The sequence below is a fragment of the Homo sapiens genome, chromosome 1 (genome assembly GCF_000001405.40).
Source record: "Homo sapiens chromosome 1, GRCh38.p14 Primary Assembly".
Classification (NCBI taxonomy): Eukaryota; Metazoa; Chordata; class Mammalia; order Primates; family Hominidae; genus Homo; species Homo sapiens.
In genome coordinates this window covers 116,721,914-116,749,845 of record NC_000001.11, presented here as the reverse complement: position 1 = coordinate 116,749,845, position 27,932 = coordinate 116,721,914, and the positions used below count along the sequence as shown (strand labels likewise).

Genomic DNA, 27,932 nt, shown 5'->3' with positions numbered 1-27,932 from the left:
AAGAGTCCTCCTCTTCCTGATACAGGAGAGGGAGATACCTTTTACAAACGGCTATTTTCTTCAGAAATTGTAAATTTTCTTTACAAAAGAAAAATATTGTGCCATGTTTTTAAAGCTTTTACTGCCTCTGCTGGTTCATGATGGCCTTTTGCTCAAAAAAAAACCATATGTTAAAAAGGCATGTTTTAGGGTGGCACTGAAGTAGGAGGTGGAACTTGACTCTGGAGGTGGGGCTTGGACACTGGACCAAATTGAGGACTAGCTAAAACAGAGATAGGTGGAAGCAGCTTTCCATAAAACATGCTCACCAGTGTGCCATGTCAGTTTACTGTTGCCATGGCAATAACCAACTTCTACCACCTTTTTCCATGGCAATGACCTGGCGACCCAGAAGTTACCACCCTTTTCCTAGAAATTTCTGCATAATCTGCCCTTTAATTTGCATATAATTAAAATGGGTATAAATAGGACTGCAGAACTGCCTTTAAGCTGATACTCTGGGCACACTGCCTGTGGTGTATACTTGCTCTGCAAGGAGCAGTACCTCTGCTGCTGCTTCAATAAAAGTTGCTGTCAAACACCACCAGCTCGCCCTTGATTCTTTCCTGAGTGAAGCCAAGAATACTCCAGGCTAAGCCCCAATGGGGCTTACCTGTCCTACATCAGCATCTTCTGGTACCCTTCACAGTCAACAATATAGTCCCATTTTATTTCTCAAAAAGCGTGTGTTGGGTGCATCTCTTGCAGAATGTCCCCAGGGTGTTGGTCCCTGTGTGGTGGGATAATAGCTACTATTCTGCCCTCCTTGCTTGCTGTTGCTATTCTAATATATCTAAATTGAACACGTATTGTCCTTCAATTGAATTATGTTTAATTCTAAGTGGACCTGTCACTTCGGTAAATGTTCTGAGTGCTGAGGCAGGTGCAGTCCCTGCCTCTGAGTGTTTGCATTTCAGGGGACCATCTACTCGGTTGCTCATTCCAGCTCCTCCCTTGCCACTCTTGCTGCACTGTACAGGTTAGCTCTTGCTCTGTCTTCATTGATTCTTTTTCTTACCTAAACTCACACTCCTGGGGAAGTAGGCTACAGGGAAGAGAATAAGAAGCAGAGAAGGAAGAAAATATTCTTGGAGGTCTTACTTTAGGTTGACCTCTTATTCCCTGATTAGTAAAATATTGATGGTCTTGACTTCTACCTCCCTTTCCCTTTGTCAAAGGAGAGCCTTAACAAGGCTCAGGTCAAGTCAGGACTGTTAGAAATAAGTGCTCAGTGCCACAAGGAAAAACCAGCACTTAGACAGAAAATTTCTCAGCAAGGCACATTTACTTCTGCAGATGGGTGCTGCCTGTGTCCCTCTGATTGTACGAGCACACTAAGCGGGGTAGCACAGGGGTTTTTATCCCTAATGCAGTTCCTGTTTCTGTGTCCTTTCCCCACTGGCTGGAGTCAGACCGCACAGTCTAAGCTGACTCAATTGGCTAGTGTTTGAAATTGAATAAGGCCAATTAGGCAGGAAGGGAGAGGCTGTCCATTACCAACTAGGTGAAAAGAGTTGTTTAAAGAGTAAGAGGTTTGCCAGTTACAGATTAAGCAGAGAAACAAGTGCTCGTTACAGATTAAGCAGAGTACGAAGTGCTCATTACAGATTAAGAAAGACCAAGGAAGCTTAGAAGAGGAACTTATTATTTTTGGCAAATTTCCCCCTCTTGACTTTATAGTTCTCCCTCTTCACATTTCCTTAACATATCCTGACTTTGTTGCTCCTCTTAGTCATTTAGGAGTAGGAACTTATCTGAGTAGGGTGGGGGAGAATCGAGGGGTTTTCATGAGGGCTTTTTCTATAAGCCTTTGCACTAATCAACAAATACAAGGTATGATGCAGCAACCTACAAGAGTGAGTACACCTATAACAATTGCAAGAGGGGTAAAGATTGAGGTTATGAGTCTCTTCCATTTTCCAAACCATTTTCCCATGAGACCAGAGAAGGGGTCATCTATTCCAGAATTTAGCTAATTCATTTGTTAGGGTGGTAAGGCCCTGTAAGGCTTTTGTAATTGTTCCATCAGGGGCTGTGTTGTTAGGGATAAAAGTATAGCATTGGACCCCAATCATGACACAGACCCCACCTTTCTCAGTCAATATCATGTCCAGGGCTATTCTATTTTCCCGGACCATTTGGGTGGTAGGGCCTAATTGTTCAGCTATTCCTTTAATGGTATCCCTAGCATAATTGACAAACTGCTGTTGATTATAGTAAATGTAATTTATCCAGTCTACATTTTTGTTTACATTTACCCATGAGAACAATATAGATTCAAATCCTGCAGCTATTTGATTTCAAGTTTTAAATTCATTTGGCACTCTTGTGGAACTCTGATGGCATCTATATAAATGTGAGAGTCAAAGGACCCGTGGGGGGATGGTACTTCTTTTTTGCAATTGTCTTTTTTGCTTTGTTGATGAAATGTCAGGATAAAAGGGATGGCCAATTGAATTAGGGTGCAAGTGCCGATCCAGTCACTTGGCAGAGTACCTAGTAGTGGTCCACTGCAGTACTACCATACATCTGCTCTGGGATGAACAAGGGCAGAGTGATTGGTTAGCTCCTGAAAAGGCTTAGGCTTACTGCATCCCGCTAAATTCGGCATGCTTTATTGCCCCAGGCTGTGGGGTTTTGGAAGAGAGCTACCATACAGCTCATACCCTGTTGGTTGGAGGATCATCCAAGTGGAAAGGGGATAATTTGGGTCCCTGGCCTTCCCGTTGCACAAGTGTAACAATCGCTTTTGTTTAGTGTGTGAATGGAATATCTAATCAATTCTAGCCAGGCATTTGCATCTTGGTACTCCATTTCAATAGCTAGGATTTGTTTTAAATCTTTAACTTCTACAATGGCTACTTTGGTGTTGCTATTGGGTAGGGAGAGACTGGTAGTTTGATTAGAAGGTTTAGGAGAGGGAGGAGGGGATGAGGGGGTGACGAAACGCATTTCAAAAAATCCTATAGAGTCTGCCCCTGCGACCTCTGCTCCTATACCATAGAAATGACTTAATGAAGGGGAGGAATTTTGGGAAGTTGTGATAGTAATGGAAATTTGTACTGGATTACATTGGTTTTGCTGGCAGTTGGTGGGGGCTTCATTTGGTGAAAGGAATGTATGGTTTTTGGACACACAGAGAGTTGTTGGGGAGGTCCAACCATGATTTTTGGTAGTCCATAGAATTTTGGACAAGCTACGGCAGAGAAACTCTGTTTTCGGAGTACAAGATTCCCAGTTAACAGAGTTTTCTTTATAATATCCCAAGTCTAAGGGAACTGCCCAGTTAATTGAATCTGCCCAATCTGATAATTTCCAAGAATGGCAAAGATACTTTTCTGAAGTAGAGAACTGCCTTTGACTTTGCAAGTCTCCACAAGGTATAACAAGACAAGCATCAAAAGTAATGATTTGGGGTGACTTTGACCTGGTTACATTAATAATGAGATGTGGGGTAGCTAAGGGAAAGAGAAGAGGAAAAAGGGACAGTCAGATTAGGCTTTTTTCTTTAACATTACTCTGGTGGGGGTTGGTCCTGGGGTGACGGTCCATGACTTTTTTTTCTTCTAAGATTTTTGCTTTAAATCCTTCTTCTTTCACTCCTGAGATCAGGAGTTCTTCTTGTGAACAAAGTACACCAGATGGAGGATAACAAAGAGAGGAGTGAGCTGCCCCTGAGTCGATTAAAAAGGCAATGAGCTCGGGTTTGGGTCCCACCTCTAAATTTATCAATGGCTCTTGGTGGAACTCGAGATAAAAGAAACAGAGCCCCTGACCCCCCTATTCTTCCTCGAAGGCCATAGGTGGGATGACTTCCTTTTCTTTTTCCCATTCAGGACATTCCATTTCGAAGTGACCTATTCTTCCACATTTGAAACATTTGTTCTGCTCTCTTTCTCTCCTTATTTTTAAATTCCCTTGCTTTGCTTTTTCATACCCTTTATATGCCTAGCGAGTGGGGGCTTAAGTTGTTTACAGGTTTTGGCCCCTTGGGTACTTTGTTGTAGAGTGGAGAGCTGATTTTTGCCTTTTGCTTTTGCTTTTCTTCATCCGTTCTTACATATGTTTTTTTGGGCCTCCCTCAAAAGTTCCTCTATAGGCCGATCTTTCCAGTTCTCTATTTTTTTTGTAATTTCTTTGTGATACCTGGCCAACTATTAGTGACAAAATGGAGCTTTAACATCACCTGCCCAAGGGGATCCTCTATGTCTAAGCCTGCATATTTTCTCATCTGTTCCTTTAGTCTGTTTAAAAACTCCATGGGCCCTTCATCTTTCCCCTGCTGTATATTAAATGCTAGTGAAATATTTGGGGTTTGAGGCATTGATTCCCAAATCCCTTTAACTATCATCTCCCTAAGGTCTTCCATGTTTTTTCGGTGGGTTGCATTATCATTATCCCATTGGGGGTCTTGGGCTGGAAATTTTTGTTCTACTGCAGGGATATTTTGACTGGGAGGATGTGCATGCTCCCAGACTATCATAGCAGCCCTGTGGATCATGTTTATTCCCCTCCACCACCCAAAAAAGAGAATACTTAAGATGGACATTAGCCCAAGTATATACTTGTGGTCCTAAAAATTGGTCAATTTGATCCACAACCCCAAAAGGATCATCTAATGGTGATTTAAGTTCCCTCTTCAGGTTTCTGACCTCTGAACTAGTTAAGGGGGCATTTTCAGAGCCAATTCCCCTCCTCCAAGTGGTACTTCTCTTAAGGGAAAAAGGGTTGGGGCAGACTCCTTTGAGGAGGAGGGGAAAGGGAAGTTTCGAATATCCTTTTTACATTGTTCTATTTCACATTGAAGCTTTCCTAGGACAGGGCATTCAGACTGGGAATGGCCCCAAGAGTCAGGATTATAAGGGGAGGGAACAACGTGAGCAGGGGAAGGGTTTGGGGTGGTTACATCTGCTTGAGGAGGAGGCAAAGTTGGTGGTGTTTAGCAGAGGAAGGTGGTCTAAAGGATCCCATGTGTTAATGGACTGTTTGGGGTAGGGGTCTCAATTTCTTTAGGGGAGGTAGTTTCTGGCTTATTTCCTGTAGCTTTTAGAGGGTAGAAGAGGACAGGCCCCTGCCCCCAGCACAGGGCATAGTCTATTTCCTCTTGGGAGACAGGACTTTTATCATTGACATATTCTATTAAAAGTTGACAAATCCAATCCTCATTTGACCCAAACCTTGGTGAGAAAACTGAAGATTTGAGAATAGGTTTTTTTGGTCCAAATAAAGCAACAATATTTGGTCCAAATAAATCAACAATATTTATCATTTTCTGCTTCTTCTTATGTTTGGTCCTTTCATTATCCCTCCAATATTTTAACATGAGACCTAGAGGGCTATCAGAGGGAATTTTATTGTCTGTCTTGTCCTTTATATTCCCTGTCCTGCTTAGGGTATTTCCCATCCTGGAAGTTGTAGGCATTTCCCTGAGTTTCCTGACTGTGTGTGGCTCATTCTCTCTTACTAGAGATTTCTTGCACTCTTTCTCTGGAGGCTCAGCAACCCCCTCCCCCCCAACCACTGGAAGTTTCTTGAACTCCTTTGCTTTCCCTTTGTCCTTCTTTGGCTGTTTCTCTCCTGGGAATTTAGGTCCTTCTTAGCATTGATGGGTCGGTATAAACCCCTGACAGGAAAGCCACCTTAAGCCATGTGACGTGACCACAGAACAGCAAATCCAGACTCCACACTCGCTTTGCACTTAATTGTGCATCTTATTCACACACTTTCAACCTCCAGGACATCCCAACCACCAAGGAAGTACTTCACCACCCCCGCAGCTTTTCTTACCTTGGTCTATGCACAGAATTACCTGGTCACTGCAGTATCTGTAGGCCTTTTCCTCCCATGTTGCTGAGAGTCTGGGTTTATTCGTCACGCCAGGTGGGTCTCGATCCCTCACTCCTGAGGCAGCTGCAATGAGGCAGTGGGATGCGTCTCCTCACAAGAGATGATCGGAGACCCTTCCCCTGAGGAGAATGGGATCCTAGATGAGCCCCCAAGTTGTTAGAAGCAAGTGCTCAGTGCCACAAGGAAAAACCAGCACTTAGATAGAAAATTTCTCAGCAAGGCACATTTACTTTGCAGAAGGGTGCTGCCTGCATCCCTCCAATCACAAGAGCACACCAAGTCAGCTAGGGCAGGGATTTTTATCCCTAAAACAGTTCCTGTTTCTGTGTCCTTTCCCCATTGGCTGGAGTTGGGCACAGTCTAAGCTGACCTGATTGGCTAGTGTTTGAAATTGAATAAGGTCAGTTAGGCAGGAAGGGAGAGGCTGTCCATTACCAACTAGGTGGGAAGGGTTGTTTACAGAATAAGACATTTGCTCTTTACAGATTAAGCAGAGAAACAAGTGCTCATTACTGATTAAGAAAGACCATGGAAGCTTTGAAGAGGAACTTGTTATTTCTGGCAGGACTATGGTCAAAATTGCCATTTCTGTATTTCACACTTACCTGAATTTTTTGAACTGTGAGATTTTGGAAGAGAAAGAAATTCCAAATAGGATTACATCCCCTCACATTTCAGTGGAGGACTCTAAGCCCTGAGAGGTTCTGGGTTGTGCCTGTCCCCTTCCTCCACACTTTCATCACCTAATCCCTAGCCCTTTGGACCTGTGCTCCAAACTCGGAGACACTGCTTGCTTCTTCCTGAGACCTCACTGTCACTTTTTGCCTTGCACACCTCACTTGTCCTTAGTTGCAGTAATCCCTGCGTCCCACCTCACCTTCCTGCCTAACTTCCATCTCCTCTCTTTGGTGCCTCCACTTGCACCCTCATTACACCTTCCCACAGACTCAGGGTAGAAACACAAAAAAGGAGTAAAGTGTCTAGCATTTTTTTTTTTTTTGAGATGGAGTCTTGCTCTGTTGCACAGGCTGGAGTTCAGTGGCACAATCTCAGCTCACTGCAACCTCCCTCTCCTGGGTTCAAGCGATTCTCCTGCCTCAGCCTCCTGAGTGGCTGGGACTACAGGTGCACACCACCACACCCAGCTAATTTTTGTATTTTTAGTGGAGATGGGGGTTTCACCATATTGGCCAGGCTGGTCTTGAACTACTGACCTCATGATCCACCAGCCTCAGCCTTCCAAAGTGCTGGGATTACAGGCATGAGCCACCATGCCCAGCTGCATTTTTACCAAAAACTGACATTTGAGTGCCTCCCATCCCGTCCTGGCCCCAGGCACCTGCTCAGACCATGATGAGCTTTGGTGGCTCTGAGGCACTGCTGGGTGCTGAACGGCAGCAGCAGCCTCCACTACACGCTGACCCTAAAGGGCAGCACAAGCAGAAGGCGCTCGGCTGCTGGATCCTCCAGCGGGTTCCACTCATGGACACGGATGTCCATGAGCTCCATGTCAGCCTCGCCCAGCCACTTCGGGGGCGCCTGCCGCCTTGAGCACTGACTGGCTGGACACGCTGACCAATGGGATGGGAGGGCTGAGTGGTGGCGGCAGCCACAGCGCACAGTGAGAAGGAGCAGCTGCAGGTGCTGAAGGACTGCTTCACAGGCTAGAGCGACAAGGTGCGGCAACTAGACGTGCACAACTGCAGCCTGGAGGGTGAGGCGGTGGTGCTGCGATAGCAGCAGGCAGGCTGCACCACCGTGGGTGAGCTGTATGAACTCGAGGTCTGCGGGATGCGCCCCACGGTGCTGTGCCTGGGCATGGTGCGCAGTCTGCTGCGCCTGGAGCAGGAGCACCTGCTCCAGGACTTCCACATGTGCACCGGTGCCTCCATGATGAGGCCCAGCAGCACAAAGAGGTCAAGGCTTGTGCTGTTGGCGGCTTCTTGCAGGAGGCCGAGGCGGCGGGCGTGGAACTGCAGAAGAAGGCGCAGGCACTGCAAGAGGAGTGTAGCTACCTGTGGCACCGCCAGCAGGAGCAGGTGGGCGAGCTGCTCGGCCAGATGCAGGGCTGCGGCGCCTCGCAGGCGCAGGCGCAGGTGCAGGCCGCGGAGGGGACGCCCTCAAGTGTGACGTGATGTCACGGCGTCTGCACTGCATGAGATCTGCGGCAGCTTGAAGGCCATGCGGTGCAGAGCACGCTGCAGTTTGAGGAGTGGTTCCAAGTGAGGATGGACCGACTGTCTGAGGCAGCCAAGGTGAACACAGACTCCATGTGCTGAGTGCAGGAGGAGATAACTGAGTATCAGCGTCAGCTTCCGGCCGAGACCACAGAGCTGGAGGCACTGAAGAGCACCATCGACTCACTGGACAGGCAGTGTTCTGAGCTGGAGGACCGTCATCAGGCCGACATTGCCTCCTACCAGGAAGCCACTCAGCAGCTGGACGCTGGAACACCAAGTGAGAAATGGCGGCCCAGCTGCGAGAGTACTACCAGGACCTGCTCAATGTCAAGATGGCTCTGGATATAGAGATAGCCCCTTACAGAAAACTCCTGGAAGGTGAGGAATGTCAGACTGGCTTTGGCCCAATTCCTTTCTCACTTCCAGAAGGACTCCTCCAAATGCCCTCCATGTCCACTCACATAAAGGTCTAAAGCAAAGAGAAGATCAAAGTGGTAGAGAAGTCTGAGAAAGAAACTGTGATTGTGGAGGAACAGACAGAGGAGACCCAAGTGACTGAAAAAGTGACTGAAGAAGAGGAGAAAGAGGCCAAAGAGGAGGAGGTCAAGGAGGAAGAAGGGGGTGAAGAAGAGGAGGCAAAAGGGGGAGAAGAAGAAGCAAAGTCTCCCCTAGCAGAAGAGGCCACATCCCCAGAGAAGGAAGCCAAGTCCCCAGTGAAGGAAGAGGCAAAGTCACCGGCTGAGGCCAAGTCCCCAGAGAAGGAGGAAGCAAAATCCCCAGCTGAGGTGAAGTCTTCTGGGAAGGCCAAGTCCCCAACAAAGGAAGAGGCAAAGTCACTGGCTAAGGCCAAGTCCCCACAGAAAGAGGAAGCAAAATCTCCAGCTGAGATCAAGTCCCCCCGGGAAGGCCAAGTCCCCAGCAAAGGAAGAGGCAAAGTCACTGGCTGAGGCCAAGTCTCCAAAGAAGGCCAAGTCCCCAGTGAAGGAAGAAGCAAAGTCCCCTGAGAAGGCCAAGACTCTTGATGTGAAGTCTCCAGAAGCCAACACTCCAGCAAAGGAGGAAGCAAGGCCCTCTGCAGATAAATCCCCCAAAAAGGCCAAAAGCCCTGTCAAAGAGGAGGTCAAGTTCCCAGAGAAGGTGAAGTCTCCCCTGAAAGAGGATGCCAAGGCCCCCGAGAAGGAGATCCCAAAGAAGGAAGAGGTGAAGTCCCCAGTGAAGGAGGAGGAGAAGCCCCAGGACGTAAAAGTCAAAGAGCCTGCAAAGAAGGCAGAGGAAGAGAAAGCTACCGCCACGCCAAAAACAGAGAAGGAGAGCAAGAAAGAGGAGTCATCCAACAAGGAGGCTCCAAAGCCCGAGGTGGAGGAGAAGGAAGCTGCCATCGAAAAGCCCAAAGAATCCAAAGTTGAAGCCAAGAAGGAAGAGGCTGAAGATAAGAAAAAAGCAGCCACCTTAGAGAAGGAGGCTCCTGCCAAGGTGGAGGTGAAGGAAGACGCTAAACCCAAAGAGAAGACAGAGATGGCCAAGAAGGAACCAGATGATGCCAAGGCCAAGGAACCCAGAAAACCAGCAGAGAGGGAGGAGGCGGCAGCAGCAATGGAGAAAAAAGATACCAAGGAGGAGAAGGCCACTGAGTTCAAGAAGCCTGAGGAGAAACCCAAGACCCAAAGCCAAAGACGACCCTCTCAAAGGAGCTCAGTGAACCTAAGGCGGAAAAGGCTGAAAAATCCTCCAGCACAGACCAAAAAGACAGCAGGCCTCCAGAGAAGGCCACAGAAGACAAGGCTGCCAAGGGGAAGTAAGGCAGGGAGAAAGGAATGTCTGGAGCAGCCAAAGAAACTCAAAAGGGTCCTGGAGCTCAAGGATCAGAGTAATGCAATTTTTACTTTTTATGTAAGAAGAAACTGCTTAGATGACAGGGCCTCCCTCTTCAAACAGGAACTTCATTAGCAATATGTTAGCAAAAGAGGGCAATCCCAGCCTCCTGCCCCCACACCCTCCCGAGGCGATGGACAATTATGTTATGATAGCTTATGTAGCCGAATGTGATACATGCCAAATGCCATACGTAAATACTTGACTATAAAAACTGCCCCCCTCCTTTCCAAATAAGTGCATTTATTGCCTCTATGTGCAACTGACAGATGACCACAAGCAGTTAGAAACACATTATGCTTGAGATGTCTTAACCTGTTCCCAAATGCCTTCTGTTTTCCAAAGGAGTGGTCAAGCCCTTGCCCAGAGACCTCTATTCTGGAAGAGTGGTCCAGGTGGGGCCGGGCACTGGGCACTGAATTATGCCAGGGCGCACTTTCCACCTGTGTCCAGTTTCAATTGCTTCTGTGCAATAAAACAAAGTGCTTATAAAACGACAAAAAGAAAAAAAACTGATATTTGCCAGGGCTTCAGTGATGATCAGAAAGGCCACACTGTGTGTCTGTGGCCAGGTCCTATTGATGTTTATCTTGGTTGTATCTAGATGATCACAGCAGAATTTCAGTATCAGTATCAGCAGCAAAATCAGATTCCACAAACATTGTCACTGCCAGGCAAAGAGGTGAGTGTTCTCACAAAAGCAGCCTAATGTTATCGGCCACCAATGCATGCACCATGGCAGCAGATGTACTCTTTTCCAGCCAAAAAGTCTGTCTCTGAGAGCTTGTTCCTTTGTCAGGTGTTATCTCCTCCAAGGCAAAAACTGAGTTTTCTTTTCCTCTTGGGCTTCCCACCCACAAAGCAGAGAGGACAGAATCGGCCCACAGTGCCAGTTCCTGTGTGAAGCCTGGGTTCCGGATATGAAAGTCACTGACCTTGGAATTCCCCCAAGCGTTAAACACCTCTGAGAGAAGGGGTACATGCTTGTTGCTAGCTGTATAATCATGTGCTTTAAGGGAAAAGAGCTTTGAGCCACCACATGCTAGAAACACGAATTTAGGCATGTCATTTCATGTCTTTGCGTCTCGGTTTCCACATTTGTAAAAGAAGACAAATGCTTTGTTCTCAAGCCTATTGTGAGGTCAAATGAAGTGACGTGTGTCCAGGGTCTAGCACGATGCCTGGCCCTAGGAGATGCTCAACAAATGTCAGCTTTCTTCCCAGATTGCCTCTATGTTCCTGATAATGAGGCCAACTTAAGAGAATAAAAGAGACAAAATAGAGAAGTTTCACCTTCGGAAGTAAGTCAGGAGAACTCAAGCTCAGGGCTTGAAGACTTCGTAGCAGAGAAGTCGTGAACTGTAGATTGAGAAGAACTAGGAAACTTTATATGATTCCTTAGGTATGCGTTACTTTTCTCTGCTTTTTATTTTTGTTTTTGTTACCCTCCTCTTCCTAGTTATTTCTCAGGATTGCCTAAGTATAAAGCCAGCAGGGCCTGTGAGATTGTGATCTAAGAAGCTGTGATGTAGGGAGCAGGGGGAGACAGAGCCCTTTCTCAGCTGTTGGGCTTGGGATATGAGCCCCAGAACACTAAGGAGGTGGCGCCTGCTGCCCAGAGTAGAGGAAGATAGACTGAGGCCCTAGCTCTGAACAGAAAGGGTGGGAGACATCGGCTCGCCTAGGCCAGGAGAGCGGCCACCATGGCTAAGTAGTAGGAAGTCTATGCAGCTCTCCAGCAAACTGCAAGAGCCCAAAAAGTGCTGGTTGTATGAATAACTGAACAAGCAAGGTGAAAGAAGTGATGATGTAATGGAATTCAAGCTAAAAAAAGAAACCCAGGCTTAAAATGCAAATTCTAACTTTTTCCTATTTAGTATCTGTGTGATCTTCAAAGTAACCTCTTTGGGCCTCAGTTTTGTCATGTCTGAAATGGTGAGGTGCAGCCAGGTGCCGTGGCTCACGCCTGTAATCCCAACACTTTGGGAGGTCAAGGCAAGTGGATCGCTTGAGGCCAGAGTTCAAGACCAGCCTGGGCAACATAGTGAGACCCTGTCTCTATAAAAATGAAAATTTAAAAAAAAAAATGATGATCTGTGGGAAGGAGTTACAATCTGGCCTGCTCACTTATACTCAAAAGTTTGTGGTGAAGACTAGATGAGGTCACCAAGAAAACACCTACACCGAATGCCGGAAATTTCAGGACAGCATCGTGATGGTGAGGGTGGCCGTAAAAAACATCTGGGGAAAATCACTCAAGGGAAGACTTCTGGGGTTTGGTTCAGCCCTGGCCAGATCCCACTCCAGGAGAGAGGGCAATCTCTTCAGTCAGATGAGCTGATCATCTCAGGGCAACCCAGCGAATGTATCCCTTTCTGGCAGTTTCCAGGGTAGCTTTTTTCAAAGGACCGTGGGCCAAAGTCCCTGCCTGCTGCTGCCACCCTCTGGCAGCAACCTGAGCCACACTCTTGTCAATTTCACTGGTTAGAACATCTTTTACACATTCGTTTACATTTGCATAGTGTTTTCCAGTTTACACTTCTTCCCCCCTCAAGAATGATATTCTTTTATCCAAACAATATCCTTGTGGCATACACATTTTTGTAGTTGAAGAAACCAAGGCTTGGGAAAGGTAAATGGTTTGTCTAAGGAGACTTAGCAAGGAGATGAGACCAGGCTCTCTGATTCCAAGACCTGTGTTCTTTTCACTGTCATAGGGGCATGTCAGTTAGTTCTACTTCTGTTGTTGCACTTCTCAAACTCTGACAGAATCGGATATGAACATGGAGTTCTCCAGACCTCCTCTCTCACCCCATCCCTCCAACACATCCCCAAATTCTCCAGACCCCATCTGTATCTGCAGCTGCCTATGAGTGAAGGGAGGTAAGGACTACAGATATGAACAAGGCAGAGCAGCACCTGCTCTTCTCTGGGATTCAGACAGATGAAGGAGATGAGACAGATACCCAGGGACCTCAGGACCTGGGAGAAATGCACATGGAATTCACCAGAGGCCAAAGGGACTCCAGCTAGGTGGTACCTGAGCTGGTCCTGAAGAGACAAACAGGTTGTAAGTTCACAAAGAGGTAGATGCAGGACCTTCCAGGCAGAGGAAATGGCAGAAGCCAGGCTTCAGTGCACTGAACCGGGGAATACCTGCTCCGGTTGAGCAGAGGAGGGAGGCAGGTGGTGAAGCTGGAGAGGGAAGTTGGAGGAGATCTCGGCAGGATGGAATTCATACTGTTTTCTAAAGGCAACAATAAACCAGCCATCCTGCATGTCTCCCATTTATTCACTTAACAAATATTTATTGTGATAGGCATATACTCTGTTTGTTTCTCGGGATAAAAGCAAAAGCATAACTTTGTTACAGAGTATTCATTTATTTCTGCAATGGATATTGACTGCCTGCTTTCCTTGTGCCAGGTATTCTTCTAGGCCCTGGGGGATGTATTTCTGTGCATACTGAACATACACTCTAGTGGGAAAGGCATAATAAACAACAAAAATGAGTAAAATAGAAGTATTTAGATAGTGACAAGTATTCAAGAGAAAAATAAAGTAGAAAAAGAGTCATGCAAATTGGAGACATGGGTGGGGATTTGCCCTTTTGGAGAGCATGGCCACAAAGGACTGATGGAGGAGGTGGCTCTGAGTAAAGGCCTAAAGCAGCGGTTTCCAACCTTCTTGGCACTAGGGGCCAGTTTCATGGAAGACAATTTTTCCATGGACCGGGGCACTGGGGTAGAATGGCTTCAGGATGAAACTGTTCCACCTCCCATCATCAGGCATTAAACTCTCATAAGGAGCGCAACCTAGATTCTTCAAACTCACAATTTACAATAGGGCTCGCGCTCCTAGGAGAATCTAATGCTGTGGCCCAGTTCCTAACAGGCCATGGACCGGTACCAGTCTGCAGCCAGGGCTTGGGAACTCCCGGCCTAAAGGAATTGTGAATTGAGGGAGACAGCCAGGCAAATATACAAGGAGGGACAGTTCAGGCAGGGGGAACTGCAGGAACAAAGGCCCTGAGATGGGACCATATCTGGTGTGTGGGGGGCCAAAGGAGGAGACCAGCATTGCTGGGGAGTGAGTGAGGGAAGGTGGAAGGAGAGGAGGCCGGAGAGGCCCAGGAGGGACAGGGAGGTCGAGTAGGAGGTCCCAGCAGGCCTTGTTCAGAGTGGCAGCGAGTCAGTGCTGACTGCTGTAGAGTCTGGTTCTTTCTGCAGGGTTTTAACAATGGACAAGGAGTTTTTTCTGCAGTCTGGCCCTATAGATTTGATGAGGTGTGGGTGGTCCAGCCAGGAGGCCTGGAAGGTCTAGTTCTTGGAATGTACCCAGGGCCCTTTTAACGCTCAGCATTCACCTGGCTGTGTGCTGTGATTCCTCCTGCTGCAACCATCCCACACACACTCAGGGGCATGAAACGGCTGTCTTGTTACATTCACAGAACCTGTGGGCCCGGCTCTTCACTGCTCTACTGTTTCTGGAGCGATGCGGGGAAGACTTTAATGGCCCGGGTGATGCAAATGGCTGAGCGCTGGGTGGGCTGGCGCTGGGAGTGGTGCCTCCAAGAGAGTGGCCTCACTTGCATGCCTGGGGCCTGTGCCTGGAGGCTGGAGTACAGTCAACCAGAGCACCCCACAAGGCCTCTCCATGAGACTGGGCTCCTTACAATGTGGAAGCTTCCTGCTTAGGAGTATCCAGAAAAGGGGCCACAGCGAGCATCCCAAAAGCTGCAGGTGGAGTGGGCCTGGCCCCTTCTGACCCCGCCTTGGGAGGCCATAGCGTCCTCCCACAGCACTCGCTTGGTCAGAGAGGTCACAGAGCCCAGATTTTAGCAGAGGAGACGTTGACCCCACCTCTTTTTTTTTTTTTTTTTTTGAGATGGAGTCTCCCTCTGTCACCCAGGCTGGAGTGCAGTGGCTCAATCTCGGCTCACTGCAAGCTCTGCCTCCTGGGTTCAGGCCATTCTCCTGCCTCAGCCTCCTGAGTAGCTGGGACTACAGGCGCCCACCACCACGCCTGGCTATTTTTTGTATTTTTAGTAGAGACAGGGTTTCACTGTGTTAGCCAGGATGGTCTTGATCTCCTGACCTCGTGATCCGCCCGTCTCGGCCTCCCAGCGTGCTGGGATTACAGGAGTGAGCCACCATGCCCGGCCAACCCCACCTCTTGATGGGAGTGTGTAAAGGAATTGGTAGCCTCTTAAAAACACCACTACAAGCCGAGTTCACACCTGTAATCCTAACCCTTTGGGAGGCCAAGTTGCAAGGATCACTTGGGCCCAGGAGTTTGAAACCAGCTGGGGCAACAAAGCAAGATCCCATCTCTACAAAAATAAATAAATAAATAAATAAAAATAAATAAAATAGGAAGAAGACTCAAGCAACCTCTAATGCTGTGCCCACATGAAGAGGCATACTACCTGGATGTCTCTGGGCCTCAGATAAAAAAACAAGCTCTGCAGAAGGTTCCTAGAAAGGGGGCTATATCCTTGCCCCCCTTCCACAGTATGCTATGTCTGTAAACATGTAACTAATCCCCCATGGGGGACAGGGCAGTGTTGTGTGCCACACTTGTGCCAAATATGTATTAATAAACTCTGGACCATATTGGCAGCTTTGTGGTTTTCCATAGTCTTTTGCAGCCTGCAAAACATTTTCCGATTAGAAGCCCCCGCTGTTTTATCTATTACATGTGACACTGAATAAGCCTCTGCATATCCACTGGGGGTTGGTAAGTAACATCAGAGCGTGCAGCGAGGGGAAAGGAATTAAAAAGGGAGCTAATGTCATCCGTGGGGAATAGCTGAGGAAGGAAAAAACCACTCTGGAAGAGAGGGGTTGCAGAAGGATTTTTTGCAATGTATTATGACCACTCAAGGCAGGCACACACATGTGTCTGTTGTCCCAGCCCCAACATGTAAAATGAAACTCCAAAGAATGTGATACCATGGGGTAGCTGGGAGGGTGGGGGCAAGGAGGGAGATTTTTATCTCACAAAGCAGATTTTATTTTCTGAGAGCCATATGCTTGATTTTCTTTTTCCCAAAAAGCCCACAGTCTCATGTGGAAAAGATTTAGAATTTTATTGGCTTTCAGGGAAGAGGGAATTAGAAATGTTAGATAAGTAGATATCACATGGGAACAGGATTTCATAGCACTCCCCCAGGCCTGTGGGTGAATGCCACACTATGAAGCTGCAGAACTATGGACAGAAATGCAAAACTGAGATGTGGCAAGAGCTGTGGGCTGGGGACAAGATGTGGGCTCCAGTCCCTGCTTTGCTGCTTAACTCCACCAAACCACTTCACTTTTCCTGAAATATGGGGGGAAGGCAATATTTGCCCTGTTGATATTGTAAAACCAATGTAAGTATGTAAGAGGGCCCTGAATGTGGTGTCTTGGCATTCAAAAGGGACAGTCACATGTCAGGTATTGTTATCTATGAGGATGTAACCTACAACCCAACCTAAGCTAAGGTACTCATTGGTCCACTTTTTAAGCAAACATATTAATTAAATGTTGTGTGAGAATACTTTGTAAGTGGCAGAAACTCAACTGAAAATACTTCATGCAAAAATAGGAAAATGATTAGCTCATGTGTTAATTCATCCAATCAGTAAGTTGACAGCACTCTGCTGAGTACCTCACTTGCCAGCTGCTGTTCTAGGAGCTGGATATATAGCAGCAAACTAAGCAGCCCAAGGTTCTCATAGGGTGCATGTTCTAAAGGGTAGATACAGATAACAACAACCACATATACACTGAGAAATAAAAATGAAATCCCGAGTCCCCCAACCAACTGAATGGTCCCCCGCCTGGCCAAAGAGTCCTCAAAGAAACCTTAAAAACTGACTTCCCAGCCATGACAGAGTGGGAAGTCGGACACATCTCCTTACACTCCCTTCTGCTAACTACTATTAGGGTTTTTTCCCTAAGGGTTAAACAGAAACCAGCCCTGTTTCAGTACAACAACTGATCAGAGTCCCTTCCTCATTAGACACCACTGACCATGGGGTGGTTTGGGCCAGTCTACAGAGGCTGCACACAGAGGGCCTTTGTGTCCCCTGCTTCACCTTTTGACATATAGAGCCTAACTGTAATACATTTAAATGTTGAGTTTCCACCCTAGAGCGAACACGGGATGCGTGTTTTACACATTAGCCTGCTATGCATGCCCACAACTCCCCTTTGCTACTATTTATAGCTCTTCCTATAACCTGTTGATTATGTATATTTGACCACCCTCTTCAGCATAAATCCCTGTCTTAGTCTTCCCACCCTTAAGTCCTTGCTTCTGGCTTCTGGCCAGAGGCTACACTTCCAGCCTGTCAGAATGGTCACCTGCAGAGAAGTACAGCTCTCCTTTCCAAATTTATGAACCTTGTGATTCTTCAGTTGACAGTATATAATTTTTTCAGGTGGTTGTAAGTGCTACAAATAAGATAAAGCAAGGCAAGGGGATACAGAGTTATAAGAAAGTGCTATTTTAGGAAGGAGGGGTCAAGGATGGCCTAACTGAAAAGGTAGCAATAGAGCAGCACCCTGAAAGAAAGAGAGAACAAACCGTGCAGCTATCTGGTGGAAGAGCATTCCAGGGAGATAGATCAGCAAGTGCAAAGGCCCTGAAGTGGAAGCTAAAATGCTAGTGAGGATACAGTGGGCTGAGCGAGGGCTAGAGTGGTAAGAGAGGAGGACAGCGGGAGCAGCCAGGCCATGCAGGGCCTGAGAGTCATGGTGAGGATCTTGGAGTTGGATGGGGAGCTGTTAGAGGGTTCTGAGCAGAGCAGTAGTGTGATCCGACTTACGGTTTTAAAAGGATCTCCTGGGCCACTTGTGGAAGCAGTGAGACCAGTGTGAGGGCTACTGCAGTAGTCTGAGCAAGAGGACTAGGAAGGTAGCAGCAGACATAGAAGGAATTGGATTCTGAATATTCTCAAAGGCAGTGCTGGTGGGATCTGCTTATGGATTGGATGTAGAATGTGGGTGCATAACAAAGGTGTAGGAGTGGTTCAGGCACAGCTGGATCCATGCACTTGAATAATAAAATTGGGACTCTTCATCTTTCCATATCTCTTGTCTCTGCTTTCTTCTGCATTGGCTTCATTTTCAGGTAGCCTCTTCCCATACAGTGGGGAAGATGGCTTCCAGCACCTGGCTCAACTCTGGGAGTGTTCTCAGAAGAGCAAGGAAGTTTTTTGTTCCCAAAGACTTCAATAAATGTCCTCTCTAGCCTCATTGGCTTGAACTGGGTCATGTGCTCAGCCTGAACCAATGAGAATAACAGGGAGGTGGGGGAGTGGGGTGGAATTACACTGACTGGGTTAGGCATAAGCCACAGCCTTCATTCCTAGAGTTCTGGGTAGTTGGCATCCCTTAAGTAAATGAGGAGATGTGGTGATGGAAAGAAAGCCAAAGGTGGTTATTGAGAGAATGGGGCTGGGTGTAAGTTGGCCACCACAATGTCCAGTGCATCCAGAGAAAGTTTAATGAAGGGCATCTAGCGTGAATGAAAAGGAGGGTACTCATAAAAATGCAATTTGGTGACCTATTACCTGTGAAGGCTGAGGGAGAAAGGAGGCTGTAGATGGTTCCAGAATAATCTAGGCAATGATGTTAATAGAAATGGAGACTATAGGATCCAAAGTATGCGTGGGTTGCAAAGGAGTGAGATGACTTCAATTTTATGACATAAGAGAGACAGACACAGAAATGACGAACCACAAGTCAGGGCAGAGCAAAATAGGCATTAAATGAGAAGAATAAGCAAAACGCTCAGGGGAAACTATAGCTGTGGTGCCTGCAGGTCATAGATAGAGGGACGGACATTGCCTCTGGCTGTCAACAAATCAAAAGTGAAGTTTGAAGGTCTTGGACTAGGAGCACTTAATTATCCATGGCTCTCAACGCCTTGAGGTCCCTAGCATCTTTGCTGTTGTTTGCTTCACCTCCAGTCTGTGTACCAGAGCTGCTAACAGGGAGCCCATCTCACTGCATGGTTTCCCTTCTTCCTTCTTGCCCCAGGCACAGTCTTCTGTTCAAGCAGTGAAACAGCAAGGGAAAGAGTTACCTGCCGCTGAGGGGCAAAGAGCACTTTGTCTGGCTGCAGATGGAAGACTGGACAACCTGGGTGATTTGGTTTCAGGGGAGGAGCCTGTGGAAAGGAGGGGAAGCCCAGCCGAGGACTTTTTTTTTTTTTTTTTGAGACAGGGTCTCACTCTGTTGCCCAGGCTGGAGTGCAGTGGAGTGATCACAGTGCACTGCAGCCTCCACCTCCTGGGTTCAAGTGATTCTCCTGTCTCAGACTCCCGAGTTGCTGGGATTACAGGTGTGCGCCACCACGGCTGGCTAATTTTTGTATTTTTAGTAGAGACAGGGTTTCACCATGTTGGCCAGGGCTGGTCTCAAACTCTTGGCCTCAAGTGATCCGCCCACCTCAGCCTCCCAAAGTGCCGGGATTACAGGCATGAGCCACCGTGCCCGGCCCCAGCCCAGGACTCCTAAAGGAGAGGCAAAATCTAATCAGCACAACTTCTCCCAAAGACTGGTAGGAAATCTATGGAGAAAGAAATACTCTCCTGTCTGCTGAGAAAAAGGGAAAGAATTAAACGAGGATATGCTGCATCAGTTAAAGCTTCCCAGGAAAAGATAAGGGTGGCGAAAAATCAGAATTAGATCACGCCAGCCAAAGCAAATAAGGAGAATAAGATGTGCTTTTACAAATATCAGGAGGAAAGAAGATTATGGAGAGGAAATAAGACTTAATTAATGCAGAGGACCATGAAATTAATGATGACCACAAATGACTAAAATATCCAATTCATTTTTTGTTAGCCTTTAACTAGGAAAACAAAGGAAAGAAATTGAGCAATTAAAGAGTAAGGACCAAAAAAAAAAAGTAAGAACAACTTGAGAGAAGAGTTAAGTAGACGCTGGCAGGGAGGAGGTCTCTGCACCCTGTGGTCCTCAAACTCTGCAGGCAACTTCCTGGGACGCCATGGGCTCAGGGAACAGCCCAGCCCCTCATTGGCACTGGGCTGGTGGGCAGGATGCCTGAAATTCTGAGCGCAACCAATTGACAGAACTTCCCCACTTTCTGGGGAAAGACAGTGAGCGAGGAGGGGAGAATGGGAAGGAGAGCCAGGCCAGGGTCTTCAGAGAATGGTGACCTTGGAGCCATCGTGACTGCTCCAGGATAAACAGAGAGGCAGGTTCCACTGGGCTTCCGCATCACCCCTCCCTTCCCATTCCTTCTCTCTGCTTCTGCCTCCAGTGCTCACCACCCTGTGTTTGGTGCACATCTGTTGAGCTCTTCCCTATGAAAAGCACACCAACAAGATTGTCATCTTCATGAGAAATGGAAGGAAATACAGAGCATGCTGAGGGAACTAAAATGGCTTGTCCTTTTTTTGCTTGAGGGGAGATCACGTTGATTTCTGTAACTTGCAACCAAAAGTCCTTACTCATACAGCCCTGTTCTACAACAGGCACTGGGGATACAAAGATGTGAGATTCAGTGCTGCTCTCAGTGAACTCACAGCCCAGGAAGGAGACATACACACACACACACACACACACACACACACATCTTTGCAATATGGTGTGGTGCACACAATAATGGTGGATGTATGGACAAGGTGCCTTGCCAGCTCAGAGGAGGAGTGAGCAGCGCTGCTCCAGTAGGCCAGTGAAGAAGGCTTCTAAGAGTTTCTTGTGCTTGCTCCTGAAGGATGACTAGAATTTTGACAACTGGCAAAGGTGCACTCTTTAGACAGCAGGAAGCCCATGCGCAGAGGCCAAGAGGCACCAATAGCCTGTAGTATCCAGCATGTAAATCATTCCTTTTTCTTTCTAAATCTTTCCAGCTAAACCCTCTGCCTGCCTAATATTCCCTCATAATTCAGATATTTCTTGCTAGAGAGAGAGTTGTAGGAATAGGTTCAACTTTTGGCTAACATCAAGGATTAGGCCACTCTCATCTCCCTTAATTGCATTACAAAAGAAAACTGAAATGTGAGGACAGTGCTTACCCAAAGCAATAGGTAATGCTGGTGGCCTTTCTGACAGTGACTGGCTACAGGGAGTAGCTGGGGAAGTACATGGGCTCAGGGAAGGCAGGGCCAAGGAGGCCAAGTCCTATTCTCTATCTCAGCAGCAATGGGAAGCTGCTGAGAGGTCTAAGTAGCAGGTGACAGGGTAGGTTCGAATTTTTAAAAAATTACTCAGGTTTCGATGTGTATATAAATTGGAGTGGGCCATGTGATGTGAATACAGGTCCAGGTGACAGATGAGCCTGGGGCTCAGATTAGTGCAGAGGCGGTGAAGATGGAAAAGAAAATGGGCAGGATGTAGTGATGAGCTGAATATGATGGTGTGGAGTCAGGGTATGGAGAGGAAGGTATCAAAAGGGACACCTTGGGGTTTGGAATCACGTGTCTGGATGGGGATGCACTAACCAGGATGGAAAGCCCTAGAAGAGGACCCGTGGTGAGCCTTACCCAACCCTCAGCTCCCCTTGTTCTTGCATGTAGACCTGCCCAAGGGCCATTGGAGGTACCAGTGCTGCCACCATCACCCTGATTGACCCAGAAACTGATACTTTGATAATCAACAGGCCATGTCATGTCCAGCTCCCCCAATGGAGGGACGTGGCACTGTCAGACAATGTGGCCTTGGTGTTTTAACTTTGGTCATTCTGTATTGTGTTTGCTAACTTTTGGGGATGGGGGTGGGGAGGAGGAGAGGCTAACAATTAAGATAAAAGAACTGAAAGGAGCTTCGACTTGGCAAAAACATATTGAAGAGTTACATGATCAATCAATCATAAAGCGTTGAAATTGGAAGGAAACTTAGTAAAAAAAAAATCTTTTCCAGAGCAGTTTTGACAGTAGTTCAAATACCCTCTGCTTTAGTGTTTCCAATCCTAACAGCAAACTGTCTCAAAAAGCAGCCGGTTCCATTGTCAGAGGACTCTGATAGAAGGAGACAGGGTTTTCTTGTATTGAGTTGAAATTTATCTCTGAGCAACTTCCACTCATTTGTCTTGGTTCCATTCTCTGGAGGGAGAGTAGGTCAACATCCCTTTTAAAATGTGGTGCCCAGAAAGCAACATAAGACTCCAAATGTGGTCTGATTTAGTTAAAGCCCTGTAGGGAATTTAGAGGGGGAAGAAAAATAAAGCCACTGAGTTAACCAGCTTTAAAAAATGACAGTCATAGAAAGCTCCCATAAGTGGAACCTTAGAATCATAAACTAAAGAGAGCCTTTGAAAATACCCAGCTGGTTCATTTCCTTGCAGAGGAAAATCACACCTAAACCTGTCTAACCCAGAGATACTGACCTATTTTTTAAGATCTCTAAAAGCAAGTGTTCCACTGATGTTTATTGCAGAGAGATTTCTTACAAATCAATCATTATAAAATATCTTCAAATCACTGTTTTCTAGTAGACTAATTTGTTTTTACATTTTCCTCTTTCTCTTGCTATTATCTTTCCTACCACATAAATTGTCTTCCTAATGAAGCCGCTTATTGTATCATATTCTGGGAGTGCATGTTCATCTGCTCCTGTAGTGTTTCAGTTCCTACTGCATTAATTAACTGCGCTTCCTCTATTATTTTCCTCTTTTTTGCATGCGATCCATGGCATTTATCCTTATATTGTTGCATAATGCTTTGTGCGATGGATGTGTTCTCAAAATTGTGTGCGAATCTAATCTCTGTAAATTGAGTCTCTTCAATTAGAAGTGCCTTCCAAATGCATTTCAGATGTTCATTATTTAAAGTCACTCTGTGGGAGGTGGCTTGGTAGAACAGGAAACACAGGACCTTTGGGTCTTCCTCTTACAAGCTGTGTGACCTTTACTGGTGACTTTATCTACCTGAGCCCCAGTTTCTAATCCATGAAATGGGGACAAAAATGCCTTCTCTCAATATGTTGTTGTGGACAATAAGTAAGCTAAGAAAAAATTACTGCAACTTAAAAAATAGATGTCTTCTTGTCTTTAAAGCAAAGAGTCCTTTTTAAAGAAAATAATACTCTCAAAAATCTATTTTGCAAGTTCAGATGTTTTTGCATCACATGTTCTTAAAGGAGAACACAAGCATATTTTGACTTTACTGTCTGGCTGTGGCAGCTTTCTACCAAACTTCTTGGATTCATGCCTCTAGAACCGTGTCTTGTCTGGGCTGACTTTCTCATCTGCAGAGGTGAACATGTGCAGCGTTCATGGCCATCTTGCTGTGTCCCTGCTTTTATCACTATGCTTGAGTTCTTGAAGCTTAAGTTACATCCCTTCTGTTTTCATTATCATTTAAATATCTCTTTCTGAATATCCTAACCTGCTCGTTTCCATGTTATTTGGATCCTTTTTGTTTCCCCAAGAATCACCCATCTCTCCTACCTGACTCTGAGTTCCACAGGCCAGGAGTAGTGCATGAATGAATGGCTAATGACCCTCATTGAGAAATTCTTTCTATAGCCTGACACATGGAGCAATTCACTTCAACTCTCTGAGATTCCATTTTCTCATCTGTAATATTAGGATATACAATGATATCAGTGGTTTCCAGGAGGCTGGGGTACCTTCTCCTTGGGGGTCTACAATGATAGCAATGGAGCAATGTTTTTAAAAGCTCAAAAGAAAGTGCATGTGTTGCCAGTTAAGGCTATGTTGCCTAATATGAACACTGTCTCTTGCTCTGGTTGAATGATGTCAACTCTGCAGGTATCATAGATAAAATCATGTTGCTTAGCATGTGTATCCATCAAGATTCTTGGCTGCATGCAATAGAAACCAAGTCTAGTTGACTTAAGCAGAAAATAATTGCTTTGGGAAAATGTCTGCCAGCTCCAGAGCAAATGAAAAGACAGGAAGACCAGACTCTGGATATGCGCAGTAGCCAGGAAAAGCTGAGCAATGAAGAGCTCAGCCAAGGTCACACCACAGAAGCGGCATGGTTGGGATACCACTGGACACCAGACACCGACCCACTGGAACCACCAGGACATGGGATGTCACTGCCCAGTGGACTGCATTCCAAACCATGGTTGCTGCTTTGTGTTACTTGCTCCAGATGCAAAGTCCCAGGTGAGACCATCCAGTTGGCAAATTTTTTTTTTTTTTTTTTTTTTTTGAGACAGAGTTTTGCTCTTGTTGTGCAGGCTGGAGTGCAATGGCACGATCTCGGCTCACCGCAACCTCTGCCTCCCGGGTTTGAGTGATTCTCCTGCCTCAGCCTCCCGAGTAGCTGGGATTACAGGCATGCACCACCATGCCCGGCTAATTTTTTGTATTTTTAGTAGACACCGGGTTTCACTATGTTGCCCAGGCTGGTCTCAAATGCCTGACCTCGTGATCCACCCACCTTGGCCTCCCAAAGGGCTGGTATTACAGGCGTGAGCCACCGTGCCCGGCAGAGTTGGTAAATCTTAAGCCTTGTGTGCCCTTGTCCAGCTGCTGAAGGACAGGGACAACAAGTATTAGGCCATCAGAGGCTCTATTTTATTAGGAGAATTCCCCAAATATAAGAAGGAGATCAGCTGCTGGACAGCCCACAAAACGAAACAAAGCAAAATCCACTATGGTTGCTAAATGTTTATTTTTTGTTTATTTATTGATATATTTTTTTGAGACAGGGTCTTACTCTATTGCTTAGGCTGCGGTGCAGTGGTGCAATCATAGCTCACTGTAACCTCAAACTCCTGGGTCAAGCAATCCTCCTGACTCGGTCTCCCAAGTAGCTAGGATTAGGACCATAGGCATGCATCACCACACCCAGGTTATTAAATGTTTTTTATGACCAAAAACACCAACAAAACTTAACTGACGGTAGAAACACAATATTTTGGAACACGAGATCAATGGAAGAAAAAAATAATGAACAGGTTTAACGATTAAAAAAAAAAAGACTGACTGGAACAGGTATCTCTAATGTTGTTCACAGACTTAGACGCCCCCTGCAGGCAGGATGAAGGAATAAAGACTGGACTGATTTTCTCAAGCCCTTTCTTTCATTGACTATATGCCATAATAACCTGGACTTGTAGAATTAATCACTGCTTAGAAATAACTAGCTCATAGCTGCTACACATAAGAGAAAACAAAAGTAATAAACATGGTATGGAGGTCCTATGGTTTGAATGTGTCCCACAAAGTTCATGTGTTAGAAACTTAATCCCCAAACCAACATTATTGGGAGGTGGGACCTTTAAGAGGCTCTGCCCTCGTGAATAGATTAATGCTTTTCTCGCAGAAGCGTGTTCCTGGATAAAAGGATAAGTTTGGACTGCTTCCTGGTCTCTCTCGTGTCCATGCTTTCTTGCCCTTCCACCTTCCACCATGGGATGTCACGGCAAGAAGCCTTTCACCAGATGAAGGCCCCTGTACCTTGTACTTCCCAGGCTTTAGAACTGCAAGAAATAAATCTCTGTTCTTTATAAATTACCCAGTCTCAGGTATTCTGTTATAGCAGTACAAAACAGACCAAAACAAGTGGTTTCTTTTATATAAAAGAAATCTGAAGGCGGGCAGGCCCAGGTTGGTACCGTGATTTCATGGTGTCCATGAACCCAGGCCTCTTTTGTTTTTGCTCTGCCATCATTAGTAGTACAGGGCTCCCATCCTCAAAGACACTTCCTTAAGGCTGCTGGAGCTCCAGCCATCATGTCTGAATTCCACATAGGAAGTAGGAGGAAAGGTGAAGGGACAAAAGACAAGAGAGAAGATATAAACTGTCTGACCCCTCTTAAGACTTCCTGAAAGTCCTGAAATGTACATTTAGATTTAACAATGTCTGCTTGCATCTTATTGACCACCCTTAACTGTAAGATAGCCTGGGAGTTGCGGTCTTTTATTAGGGCACATGGTCACTCAAACATTGTGTGAGCAACTAGCAGTCTTCACTTCCCCAGGGAAGTCTCAAAAGTAGTGAGAAGTTTGGTTTAGAGGCCTTTGACTCTCCCTCTGCTCCAACTTTGTCCTCCCCTGAGTCAACTTTATGTGATATCACTTAGGACAAGGGAAGCTTCCAGGGAAGACACCAGCACTGAGGTCTTAGGACCACCTCTCTGCAATGTCTAGAGAGTGGTATGAGCCCTTTGAGGAGCTTCCTAGGAAATAACCAAACACTGAACATTTATTGAGCATTAACCTTCTGCCAGGCACTGTGTGAAGTGCTTTATCTCCACCCTGTTACCCCATCCTCACAACTGCTCCTCGAGGTAGGCACAATTGTGCCCATCCTGAAAATGAGGGAGCCAAGGATACGTGGCCATAACTTGCCTGATTACAGTTAGTGAGTAGGGACCAGGATGGAAACGTGTGTTTATCTGACTTCTGAGCCAGGATCTTAACCAACACGCTGCAGCTGTGCTGTCCCATACAGTGTCACTGGTCACACGTAGCTGTGTACACTTAGATTTAAATTAATTAAAGCAAAGTCAAATTTAAAATTCAGCTCTTCAACCATGCTGCCAACATTTCAAGAGCTCAGTAGTCGTGTGTGGCTAGTGGTTACCATCTTGGGCAGCAAAGCTATAGAACATTTTCAACATCACAGAAAGTTCTATTGGACAATGCTGTGCCAGAGGAATGGATCATTATTGACTTTCATTCGTCATCACAAATGGGATGATGAGAAACTTTTTTCTTGCCCTAGCCTCTTTTCCTGTTTTCCAGTTGTCTTGTCTTCATATATTATACAGCCCAGCCATACAAAGAGACAGAAGAAATTCTGAAGAAGCAAATACCAACCGAAGTTGAAAGTGGCCGCTTGTGATATTTCTACTGCGACAATACTTTCCACTCTGGGGTAGGGGACCATTGTGGAGGGCAGGGCAGGCTTGGTGGGGAGGATGTTCCCTGGTGTCTGCAGTCAGCTCAGCTCACAGGGTGAGCACTAGATGGCATGAATTCCTGAGCACAAAACCCTCTTATTTTTTAATTCTGTTGTTTAGCTTTTCTCTCCTTTCCCTACTTCGACACATGCCAAATGTGTTTCAGTTTAAACCTGCACTTTTAAAAGGTTGCAAAGCTCCCAGCTGCTGCAAAGTCAGGTTTTTCAGAACACATTTGCATCTTTTCTCAGTTGCTGCCTTAATTACACATAATAAAGGTATTTAGTTATAGACAAATAGCTGATGAGCCCGAACTATAATGAAAAGGTCTTGCCAAAAGCCATTTCCCTTGTCAAGAGAGAACTTGCTCAAAGACAGTGGGAAGCTGTGATTCATTCTTATGCCACAAGTGTTACTACAAGAAATTCAGTTCACTGGGAGTGGCTGGCACACAAACTTCAAGCAGTGACAAAGTCCAGAGTTCTCAGCTGTTTTCTGCAGCCACCACTGATGCCTTGACTAGAAATGTGTGATGAGAGAAGACCAACACCATTTGTGACTGGTTTAACAGGAGTCAGCAAACTTTGCAGCTGACCACCTATTTTTGTTAATAAAGTTTTATTGGAACACAGTCATGCTCATTCATTTACACAGTCACGCTCATGATTTATGGCTGCTTTCATGAGACAACAGTAGAGGTGAGTAGTTGCAGCAGACGCCATATGGCCTGCCAAGCCTAAAGTACTTAATAGATGACCCTTTCCAGACAAAGTTTATTGGCCCCTGGCTTAGAAGGTAGGAGTTGGACTAAATTGGAGTTCTCAGCCCTATCTCTGTAGGAGGGCTGGCACTGACCTTTCCCCTCTCACCTGGCCAAGATGACCATCTCTCCCCTGCATGACAGCCCTACCTTCTTTCTGCCTACCTGTCTACCTCCTGGCCTCCTGCATTCTATTCTCCTCAGCACAGCCAGAGCACGCCCCTTTGGAACATAAGCCATTTCATGTCACTCCCTTACTCAAAGCCCTTCAAGTGCTTCCCATTTCACAAAGAGTAAAATCCAAAGGCCTTCAAGTGGCCTGCAGGGCCCTATATCAGCTTCCCCGGCCATCCTAGCCTTCTCACTGAGCCTCAAACTGGCAGGCACTGTCTC

At 46.3% G+C, this 27,932-nt stretch overlaps 1 pseudogene, besides 2 other annotated features; it reads left to right on the top strand.

The window, feature by feature from the left end:
* NEFHP1 (NEFH pseudogene 1) lies at positions 7,194-10,062 on the top strand (annotated as a pseudogene).
* Positions 10,762-10,971: an enhancer, noted in NCBI's record as "active region_1574". NCBI's record gives its function as "activates an Ori minimal core promoter by ATAC-STARR-seq in GM12878 lymphoblastoid cells {active_cell/tissue: GM12878}" and the evidence as "EXISTENCE:reporter gene assay evidence [ECO:0000049][PMID:35858748]".
* Positions 11,440-11,739: an enhancer, noted in NCBI's record as "active region_1573". NCBI's record gives its function as "activates an Ori minimal core promoter by ATAC-STARR-seq in GM12878 lymphoblastoid cells {active_cell/tissue: GM12878}" and the evidence as "EXISTENCE:reporter gene assay evidence [ECO:0000049][PMID:35858748]".